The following is a 12,061-nucleotide window of genomic DNA, read 5'->3' as shown; positions in this document are numbered from 1 at the left end:
TATATGGAAACACATAAACTAATTACGAGTGATCGTTAAGGAGGTTGAGTCAAATATACTTTAGAGTATAGGAAGTCATCACGGGAGGAGGAGAAAAAAGATAGTGAACATTCATATACAGGAAAGGAAAAAACAGTAATGGAAAACAGGAGGGAAGAGATTCTTATTTTTAGTACATTAAAGCTATCCCTCGGTCTAGAAGTCGCCAGAAATAGTGATAAGCTGGAATAAAAGATGGAAAGAAAGTAAAAATAGATACAAACGAAATGTGAGATAAACTCTGAAGTCAGGACCTGTAACTTGAAAAGCTGCTTGAAAACTGGGCAGAACTGTCGTGTTTCCAGCAATATAGAGAAGTTGTGCAGTGCAGTGGGGCAGGCACAGCCCTGAGTTGTAGGCTGAGTTTTACTTCTAAATTCACATACAGTGTGCTCCAGTAGGTCACTTGATTTTTCTATTCTTTGGTTGCTTCATTTATAAAATAAAATAACCATCTTGAAAGAGAAATTTCAAAGTCTCCTCCAAACCCAAATTTCTATGTATATTAAGGTTTGGTGTATTTACAGGAAATTGACACACTTAATCAATTTCTTTAATATATCTGGAATCAGATTTTTTTAAACCTGCTATACAGTTTTGAGTTATAGACAAAGTTATGTAGAGGGCAAATGTGTCCCCGAAATTCATCAGGAAAGAAATGATTGCACACATCTGCTTTGTGAAGTTTCAATCTAGACATCACACTTCACTTTACAAGAAATAGTTATTTTCTGCTTTTCTCTTCTTGGCTGTTTATTTCTAATCATAGGTAATGAAGCTACATACTGAGTTCTGAGTGATTTACCTGGTTATGCAAATATAAATGTCTAACATATGTTTATTAACTCTGAATGTCAAAGCAGAAAGAAAGATACAGTTCTAACCATGGCTGTGGATTTATTCATGTAATATTACTGAGGGCCAAACTATAGTCCAGACAGGCATTGTTCTAGGCACTGAAGATACACCAGGGAAGAGAACACAGTCTCTGCCTTCATGTAATATATGTCCTAGTGGCAGGAGACACAGTCAACAAATACATGAATAGTTCCATGAATTATACATCCAGGTGCCGATAACTATTGGAAAAAAAAAGAATGATAGATGGTATGGGGTGAATGGAGAAGAGGGAGGTCAGGCCTGATATTTGATCAGAACCTTAAAGAAATGGGATAGAGAGGTATTTAGATACTGGTGGCAAAGCTATACATATACATATGTGTGTTATTTCTACAGATTCAATTTTTCCCGTTATAAAATTTGATTTCAATTGTACATTTTTGTAAATAACAATGTCTCCTAGGGAAGACTAATAAGTTATTTACTTCAAAAATTCATTAAGTGTCTGTTTTCTAGAAGCTTGAAATATAACTAAAACAACAGGGTACATATGGAAAACTTAATGCACCTGCCATGTGAAAGTTCACTTTATACTGAATGTTCAGAATTTCCATAGGAATGGGATTTGAGTTTAGCAAGATTTCAATATGTAGGTATTGTGGAACCAGAGTCTTCTCCAGGAGAAGACTGGAATTAATGTAAGAATATAGATGGGAAAAGGTTAAAGCCATTCACAGTACTATAGCTGAGAACTCCCTGACTATGAAATCTGGGTAAAATTGCCATGAATCCCTTTTTATTTTATGTCCAATAGCACCCAAAGCTCTCTCCTGCCTCTTATGTCTCTTGGGCCTTGTCTCTGCACAATGCCTCTGTCCTACGCTAGGAAGAACCCAACTTAGAACTGAGCCTCTCCTTTAGCTCCACAACAACCCTCATTCATACCACGCCTTTTGGGGATAAGCAGATTTTCCTATAAATTGGGTGATGAAGTGTGGAGAGGGTCACACAGTTCCCTGAATAGCCTTCCCCCAACTTGACAGCTTTATCTTACCTCCCTTGTGTTCATCTCTGTCCATCTCTGCTGTTCCCTTCTGCTCCCCACCCCCTATTGAACCAAGAGTGTCATTTTCTCTGCATTGTGCTTGGCAGCTTCCCAATCCCCTGAGACCTGGATGCCAGCTGACACCCCAGCCATTGGGGAACCCACTTTTTGCCCTAAACCCATATTGAAACATCTCCCCAGTATTGACATTTTCCTCTGTAGGAAGAATGTTGGTGCTGGTTGTTAAGATAATACTGTTAGCTCATTATAAGTTTGCTTGGTGCTGCAAAAGGTGATCTAAGAGGACACTAAATTGGTTCAGGATGAAGAGGGTAAAGTATAAACAACATTTGCTTAAGGCCAGGTGTCTCTAACCAATAGGATCATCTGTCCTGCCTACAGGCCTCCAAGCTTGCTATTGCCACACCCCTCTCTCTCAGCATGAGCTAGGTGAAGGATAGAGAACTCAGAACTGTCACTGCCAGTGCAGCTCTCCATGTCACCCACTCCCTTGCTCCTCATGGAAAAGCATATGATTTTAACTTTTCAAAGTGTTCAGGGGTCAATTAATCTAAAGCAGGTCTTGGAGGACAAATATTAGAAAATAGCTCTGGAATGTGAAAGCTTGCCAAAGAGAAAAGGAAAGTTTTGGTCAAGTCCAAACTGAGTCCAAGGCCTGGGGAAAAATAAGCACATCGTGGATGTCTAGGTGGCCAGAGATTTAAACAGATGGAAAACAGCCTTCAAAAGTAGGAGACTCTGAGAAATGAAAAGGTTGAGGGAGAGAAATATCATCACTAATGAACTAAGGTTAAGAAATGGAAACATGTCAATGGAAACTGGTGTTCAAGGTAGGTACTGAATAACCTAAAAACACATCTGGAATCAGCTTCTTGGAGACCTCAGGTCGGATTTCACAGTAATAGCTCAATGTCTTCCTGGGCCAAACAGCAGTATGACTAAGAAACCCAGCGTTGGCTGGGCGTGGTGGCTAACGCCTGTAATCCCAGCACTTTGGGAAGCCGAGGCGGGTGGATCACGAGGTCAGGAGATCGAGACCATCCTAGCTAACACGGTGAAACCCCATCTCTACTAAAAATACAAAAAATTATCCGGGCGTGGTGTTGGGCGCCTGTAGTCCCAGCTACTCAGGAGGCTGAGGCAGGAGAATGGCATGAACCCGGGAAGCAGAGCTTGCAGTGAGCCCAGATCGTGCCACTGCACTCCAGCCTGGGCAACAGAGCGAGACTCCCTCTCAAAAAAAAAAAAAGAAAAGAAAAAGAAAGAAACCCAGCATTTGGAGTCATACAACACTGTATTCAAATCCCAGATCTTCTGCTTACTAGCTAGATAACCTAGAGTTAATATCTCTCTAAGACTCAGTTTCTCTATCTGAAAAAGGGAGGTGATAATATAACCTACCTGGCTATAAGGATTCGTTGAGGTTAAAAAGTGTTAGAGTCGGCTGGGCACGGTGGCTGACACCTGTAATCCCAGCACTTTGGGAGGCCGAGGCAGGCAGATCACGAAGTCAGGAGATCAAGACCATCCTGGCCAACGTGGTGAAACCCTGTCTCTACTAAAAATACAAAAATTAGCTGGGCGTGGTGTCATGGGCCTGTAGTCCCAGCTACTCAGGAGGCTGAGGCAGGAGAATCACTTGAACCTGGAAGGTGGAGGTGGCAGTGAGCTAAGAAAGTGCCACTGCACTCCAGCCTGGCGACAGAAAGAGACTCCATCTCAAAAAAAAAAACAAAAAAAAAAACAGTGTTAGAGTCATTTTTGACTACTCTGTCACACACACTTCTAGATAACCCTATTGCTCTGTTAGCTCATTTTAAGTTTGCTTGACACTGCAAAAGGTGATATAAGAGGATAGAATATCTATCCAGTAACTGACCAGTTCTCACCAACTCCACTATTGGTTACTATTTAGTCTGAATCCTGAGTTTCACTCACCTGCATTATTATATAGCAGCACCTGAATTATTGTCTTGCTTCCACTTCTTGTCCTCCTAGCTAGTGATCCTTTTTTTTTTTTTTTTTGAGACGGAGTCTTGCTCTGTTGCCTAGGCTGGAGCGCAGTGGCGCGATCTCGGCTCACTGCAAGCTCTGCCTCCCGGGTTCACGCCATTCTCCTACTTCCGCCTTCCGAGTAGCTGGGATTACAGGCGCGTGCCACCACGCCCAGCTAATTTTTTTTTGTATTTTTAGTAGAGACGCGGTTTCACCGTGTTAGCCAGGATGGTCTCGATCTCCTGACCTCGTGATCCACCCGCCTCGGCCTCCCAAAGTGCTGGGATTACAGGCGTGAGCCACCACCCCCGGCGCTAGTGATCCTTTTTTTAAAAAAAGTCAGCAGTAACACTGCTCTGCTCAAAATCCTGCAATGGCTTTCCATTTCACTGTGAGTAAAAGCCAAAGTCCTTATAATGGTCAAAGGCCCTATAGGATCCCCTCCCCGCGCCCCCACACCCAGCCACACTGACCTTTTTACTGTTCCTCGAAGTCAACAAGCATTCTTGACTCAGGGCCTTTATGTTGATTGCTTCTGCTGGTCAACCTGTTCGTACTCCAGGTATTCCCACAGTTTACTTGCTCAAGGACTTTATCTCTTTGCTCAAATATCACCTTCTCAGTGAGGTCCACACTGTCCAAATTAAGGTTTCAGCCCCTCTCTCCTCATATACACATAATCTTCCTACTTTCCTGGTCTCTTTTTTCATAACATTTATCACCTTCCTACATGCAATGTAATTTATTTATTTATTATGTTTATTGTTTACTGTCTTTTCACACCCACAAGTATATAAGTTCCACAAGGCAAGACTTTGGGTCTGTTTTATTCATTGATATATTCTAAATACAAAGGCACACAGGAGGCACTTTACAAATGTTTACTGAATGAATGAATAATGATGCATAAAATACACTTGGCAAATTAATATATAGCAAGCACTTAATGTTAGTCTCAAAAAAATAGGGAGTATAGCTTTGATATTGATACTAGGAATGACTGCTGGCATATGTTATAAAATCAGAGATAACGCTGGACCTGAAGATAGGCATTAAACAGGACCAGCATCTGGGCATTCAGCGACAAAAAGCCAGGCAGCCTGCACACAGACCGACTTCAGGTAGCATGCTGAATTTTATTTCATTAAGTCTGTCCTTCCTTATTATTTGTATTTTTCCTTTAAATTACTTCAACTTATTTAACCTTTCTTAAAAGACACAGCCTTTAATCTTTTACCCTTATTATTCCTCTTTGAGCCCTGTGAAGTTAGTTCTCTCACAGTCTTTGTAAATAAATGTGAAGCTTATAGACAAATACTGGAAACAACCCAATAAAAATAATTCTCCTCGACCAGGCAGGCTATTGCGAACAAAAGCCTTTGTCACACACTGACAAAGAATATGAATAAGAGCATAGAGCAGTCCTCTTTGTGTAGATGACAAGGTTACCTTAGGAAGGTGTGGTCCTGGTTTCTATCTTTTGGAATGGTCAGTCCCTTTGGCTGGAAAAGGATTGAGAAGAGGGCACATTTCTTGGGATCTATAGTTGTAACAATATTGTGTGACAAATGCTACAATCAGATTCCCCCAAAAATGGCTTTCCTGAGAGTGTCTGCTCATCAGTGATTTCACAGAATATTAACAAATTCTCCTAAGGGAAATAAAGGAGGAGGGTAGTTCATCAGTTCAGTTTAATTTAATAAACTGTATAACCCACTTTAAACAGATTTCTTTGCTGCAAGGTTTTTGGAGATTTCATCTGCCGACATACAACTGTGAATATTCAAGAGGATGGCATAATATCCATGCAGCATTTCATAAACTCCCTAGGTCAAGGAAGGCTTTTTTAAACGGGTTCCTTGAGAGACCTATTTCATTTATTCAATGAACATTTATTGAACAACTACTATATGCACACATTGCAAGCACCCAGGATTCAGTGGTATACAGGACACACACAGTCCTTGTCCTCATGGGTCTTAACAGTCTAGTAGAAAAAACACACATTAAACTCCTACTTGAAAGTTGATGAATATAATGAAAGGGAAAATATAGCTTCCATAAGAACAATTAAGAGAATACTGCTTAGTAAGGTGTACTTTGGAAAAGGCTGATGTAATTGTTTTCATAAATAAATTTTATCTTTAAGTGGTTAATCACAAACTATTTATAATTTACTATGTACATAACACTGTGCTAGTAATATATGGAAAATACAGAGGCATAAGACATGAACCTTGCTTTAAAAGAACTTCTCTAATTGAGAAGAAAGCCAAAAACAAAAGAAAACGAAATAAACATGCAAGCCAGAATAAAATAACATGTTAAGTTTGAATAGTTTAGATACCCATGAAAATGGTACCTATCTTTCCAAGACTAAAGTCTCAGAGCTTCTAGGCAGCCTTCTCCCAACTCTAGATCCACATTGCAACTTAGGCCCATTTTTCCAGTTCCTGTCACACACTGACCTATAAAAAAGTTATTTGTGTGCATCTCTAATCTACCAAACTAAACAGTCAACTTTGTGGTACAGGCACTGGATCTTTTACATCTTTGTACTCCTCACAGCACATGGTCATTTGCAGGAGCCAGAAAAGTATAATGGTTAAGATAAAAAACTCTAGAGGCATACCAACTGGTTAAATCCTGGCTCTGACATCGACTAACTGTATGACTTTGGGTACATTTCTTAATCCTTCGGATCTCAATATTTTGTTTGTAAAATGGAGATAATAATACCCATATTTACCTAAATCATGCTATTGTTTTAGCAGAGATGATACATATGAAACAATTTAGTGCCTTACATGGTAGGAACTCAGTAATAAAAGATATCATTACTATGACTGTTGTTGCTACAATAAGTACACGTGCTATACAGATTGTTGAGAAAAGGTGGAAGGAAGTCAGGCACCAGAGGACATGGCCCATCACCTCACCTGTCTTTCACAAAGCTCCAGTACAAATGAAGATGAAAGAGGTTTGAAAAGATCTCCTGGGTCAGACTAACTGCTTACAGAGAGAGGCCAAAGGGCAGCAAGATGAGGTGAATTATGCTGAACAGGCATGGAGAAGCCTGATGATGGGGTGGAGAGAACTTGAAATATGAGCTAAAATGTTCATATTTGATTGAAAGACAATGGATAAAACTAAAGACCAATGTGGAAGAAATTGTTTTCAAGAAAGTTTACCTTGCCAACCATGATCAACAGGAACTAGGTGGAATGAACTACAGCCTAAGAGACCAGTCAGTGACACCCAAGTAAAGTAATACAGTTGTCAGGTCTAACACAGAGCCTTTCACTCTTTGCTGCACTAATGATAATCTTTTAAGTCAACAAAGACCTAAATAAATAGAGAGTTAGAAGGGAAAGTACAATATTATATTCAAAGTTGGTTAGTTGGCATGAACTGAAATGCATAGGCCACAATTCTGAGAGATGAATTCTCAGGATGGCATGCAGCCCACTGTTATAAATAGTTTCCGTGCGGCAAAAAAAATAGCACTTGAATATAAAATTTTCTTTTTAATTCTCAGCAAGGCAAGGTACCTCTATAGAAGGGTGCACCCTTACAGATGGAGCAATGGTGAGCGCACACTTGGACAAGGGAGGGGAAGGGGTTCTTATCCCTGACGCAGGCGGCCCCTGCTGCTGTGTTGTTCCCCTATTGGCTAGGGTTATACCGCAGCATCTAAACTAATTCTCATTGGCTAATTGAAAGAAAGTGACAGGGTGAATGGCTTGGCAGGAAAAAATGGTTATGCAGGGTAAGGAATGAGTCAGGGCAGACCAGGTAGCCGGTAATGGGAATGAGTCAGGGTGGAGCAGGTGATTGAAATGAGTCAGGGTGGAGCAGGTGATCGAAAAAGGTTGCTTTATGAGGAAGTGAAGTTTAAAAATAGAAGGCAAAGAATTGAACATACTGACATATTGATTCTTTGTAAAGAAATTTAGAACTCATATCTAACACCACCATGAACTACCAAATACTTCCTCATGAAATTAGACTTTTCCTTAAGAAAATATCAGTTTTGTCACATAGTTAATTTAGTCACCAAACATGGACATCACTCACACAGTGTGGCATTTTAGCAATAGAACTTGTAGAATTGAATACATTATATGAAAATCAGATGAGAAAAAAGTTAAATCTTCTTCAGGAGCCTCTGGGAAGATTACTCAGATTTCTCTAAAAAAAATTTAACAAGCCACTTTCACGTTTATTTTACAAAGAAAAAGTAAATACTGAAAATAACTAAATGAGAACATAATGATACAACGAGCCATTTTAAAAGATCTGTTTTACCTTCCTGAAATAATAAAATACTCACTATTATCTTTTTTTTTTTTTTTACATTTGCCAACAGGTCAAAAAGAACCTTTATTACTTTTTATGATTGCCACTTATGCTTTCTTGCCAGATGCCTTTGGAGCAGGTGCTTTCTGGGCTGGAGCTTTTTGACCCTTCTGAGCTTTTGGAGCAGGTGCTGCTTTCTGGCCTGTGGCTTTCTGGGCAGGAACCTTCTGGGCTGAAGCCTTTTTACTCGCGGCCGTCATCTTTTTTGCTGGAACTTTAGCAGCAGCAGCAGCAGCAGCAGCAGCAGCAGTACCCTTAGTACCAGGTGCTTTTTTGGGAGAAGCTTTCAGGAGAGCTGCCTTTTGAAGCTTCTTAACTTCATTCTTGATTATTCTGTTCCTCGTTTTCTTTGCCTTCATAACTTTAAAACGATCAAAATCTGTCATCTTGGCTTTCCTTTCTCTGGCTTCAATCTTCTTGGCCCATCGTGTGGCTGCCCATTTTGTATTGATGTCTGCCTTCTGCCAGGCTTGTTGGACATACTTTTGGCGGGCACTGTGCGGAAACTTGAGGATGAAATCAGTGAGCTGCATGCACTTGAAAGGCATGGCCTGTCTCCTCACTTGAGTGCAAGGTCCATCGACCAAAGCCCTGTTCTGATCAATAACATCTACAATCGCGACCAATTTTCCGGCATGAGGTCCAAAGGAGACATAGGCCACCCGGCCAACCTCCACGAAGCGCCTGAACACCATGTTGGTGGCGTTAGGTGAGAAGGCCACTATTATCTTTTTTATGCTAATGACTTTCTGGATCAAGACAGAAATTTGTAGGTGCAAGGTTTGATTTTTTTTTTTCAAATACTAGGATTAAAGTCATGAAGACATTCTATCCCTTTCCCTTCTCTTTCTGCTCCATGCACTGACCTGGGGAGAGTTGTTCTTGAAGATCCTAGTTAGAATTCTGGGTGCATTTTCCCATAGAAATAATGCTATAAATGAATATGTATACTTGAAATATTATTGCTTCTATATACTAGGTGTTTAATTTCCAGCCTAAGACCACAAAAACTAGTTCAACCATAATATACCTTGTATATTACAAATTAATTTTTGACATATAATCTGTTCATAATTTTAGGACTCTGAACATTTAAAAATTAGACCATCAGCTACATGTAAACAATTCCTGTTAGATGAGCAAGTGATTTATAGTAACAAAATTTACACCTGAACTCCTCTTGCATGACAGATTTCTAAATTCATAGAGTCACAGGATGCCAGAGCTGGAAGTATCTTCAGAATCACTCAAACCACCTCTTCATTTTACATATAAGGAAACTGAGGCCAGGATGTGCACAGTGGCTCATCATGCCTGTAATCCCAGCACTTTAAGAGGCCAAGGCAGGTGGATCACAAGGTCAGGAGTCCGAGACCAGCCTGGCCTACATAGTGAAACCCCATCTCTACTAAGAATAGAAAAATTAGCTGGGCATGGTGGTGCATGCCTCTAGTCCCAGCTACTTGAGAGGCTGAGGCAGGAGAATCGCTTGAACATGGGACGCAGAGGTTGCAGTGAGCCGAGATCTCATCACTGCACTCCAGCTTGGGCAACAGAGTGAGACTTCGTCTCAAAAAAAGAGAAAAGAAACTGAAGCCAATGAGGGGAAAGCATTTCTGCACTCAGGTAGTTAGGAGGCAAGCTAGGACTTGAAAACAGTTACCGTAGATTCTATTTTCAGCTGAGAAAATGCCATTCATCTACTTACTTGTTTGTTCTTCATCATATATTGAAGAAACATTTGCTATGTACCTTCAGTGTGCAAAATCTTCTGCTAGCTGCTGAGAAAATTCAAAGAACACAAATTGGCATTTGCTCTTAACTAACTAAAATCTAATTGTGCATAAAGAAAGAGAAAATTGGAAAATTAAGTTGCTGCACAAGAGTTACATAAACATAAAAGTTATGTCAACATATATAATTAAATGAATTGAGTTATTCAGAGAATACGGATAATATGTTAGGATTTCAGAGGATGGAGACATCAGAGTGAATTTGAGGGATCAGGAAAGCCTTCATCAAAAACAGAATTTAGACCCACTCACCCATCAGTTCTTTCAGTAGATACTTACTGAAGACCCGTTATTTTCCATATGCTATACCAAACCCTAGGAAAATAAGGATGAAAGACATTGCCCTTGACCTCCAAAGTTAACAATCTAATGGAAAGACAAAGATAAGAGGGCAAGAGGCAACATGAAGTAGAAGATCAGCATGTTTGGAGATGATAGTATTTTAGATATGAATAGAGGCAGGACTGGGATTAGTTGCAAAATTCAAGGAAGCACTCCCTCTCTAGTCCTTGCAAGTATAGAGTTGGCACTTGTCCAGACCTGAAAGGGAGTGCTTCCTTAAATCTTGCGTGGGCACCTCAAGGCCTCCCCCAGTCCTATTTAGCTGCCATCCAAAGTAGCAGGATTGTATGAACAACAACAAATCAAAAATTTCAGAATAGGTCCTGAATAAAACCTCCTGCTCTGTAGGTCATCTTGAGTAAGTTTTTCCATCCCTCTGGGCTGCAGTTTCCTCATCTGCAAAATGAAGGGCTTAACTTAGATGAGTGCTTTTCAGACTGTGACAAGCATAGCATTTTGAGTCTTCAGAAAAAGCTCAGATAAGGAGGGGCTGAGTGGGTAGATCTCTAGATCCCCCATCCTTCCTTTAACCAAGCTAGCCACCATTTATTGGTTAAATAATCATTTACAATGATGCTTATGTATTTAAGAAAAAAGTTTCACTGATTTTTTTAAACATCAGTTTGGGCCAGGTGCAGTGGTTCACACCTATAATCCCAGCACTTTGGGAGGCCAAGATGGGCAGATCACCTCAGCCCAGGCTGGGCAACATGGCAAGATCCTGTCTCTACAAAAAATAAAAATAAAAATTAGCTAGATATGGTGATGTGTGCCTGTAGTCCCAACTACTTGGGAAGCCGAGGTGGGAGGATTACTTGAGCCCAGGAGGTTGAGGCTGCAGTGACCCGAGATCTTGTCACTGTACTCTAGCCTGGGCAACAGAGTGAGACCCCCATCTCAAAAAAAAAAAAAAAAATACAAACATCAGTTTGAAAAATCAACCATCAAGTTGATCTGAGATGATCCCTAATACCTTTGTCCTTTTGTCTTTTTATGAGGAACCTGGTTTCTGCCAAGGACCAGTGAGGACAGTTATAACTGTAGTTTAAATGACTGGTAGTACAAACTGAGTGGTCTCCAAGGGCATTGAACTCTTGTAAGTCTTGTGATTGAGTACCCAAGGCTGTTTCCCATGTGAAGTGCTGAATGAGTCTTGGTGAGTTGGGTGGAGAACAAGAAAGGACAGGCAGACTGATATGGCTTGGCTGTGTCCCTGCTCAAATCTCATCTTGAATTTTAGTTCCCATAATCCCCACATGTTGTGGGAGGGACTTGATGGGATGTAATGGAATCATATGGGCGGTTACCTCCATGCCATTCTTGTGATAGTGAGTGAGTCCTCTTGAGATCTGATGGTTTTATAAGGGGCTTTTCCCCCTTTGCTTGGCACTTCTCCTTCCTGCTGCCATGCAAAGAAGGACGTGCTTGCTTCCCCTTCTACCATGATTGTAAGCTTCCTGAGATCTCCCCAGCCCTGTGGAACTGTGAGTCAGTTAAGCCTCTTTCCTTTGTAAATTACGCAGTCTCAAGCAGTTCTTTATAGCAGTGTGAGAATGGACTAATACACAGACTGAAAAACTAGATCAATCTGATGTTAATCTAGGGGTGCAATGGGAATTAACAATCT

At 40.5% G+C, this 12,061-nt stretch overlaps 1 pseudogene, besides 1 other annotated feature; it reads right to left on the bottom strand.

Moving 5' to 3' along the window:
* Positions 1,525-2,046: an enhancer, noted in NCBI's record as "H3K27ac-H3K4me1 hESC enhancer chr12:63366053-63366574 (GRCh37/hg19 assembly coordinates)". NCBI's record gives its function as "activates a minimal SCP1, AML or CMV promoter by ChIP-STARR-seq in naive H9 embryonic stem cells {active_cell/tissue: H9 hESC(naive)}" and the evidence as "EXISTENCE:reporter gene assay evidence [ECO:0000049][PMID:30033119]".
* On the bottom strand, positions 8,295-9,016 carry RPL14P1 (ribosomal protein L14 pseudogene 1; annotated as a pseudogene).

The sequence above is a fragment of the Homo sapiens genome, chromosome 12, assembly GCF_000001405.40.
Source record: "Homo sapiens chromosome 12, GRCh38.p14 Primary Assembly".
NCBI lineage: Eukaryota > Metazoa > Chordata > Mammalia > Primates > Hominidae > Homo > Homo sapiens.
Note: the sequence above shows the minus strand (reverse complement) of the source record. Positions and strands in the feature narration are given on the sequence as shown.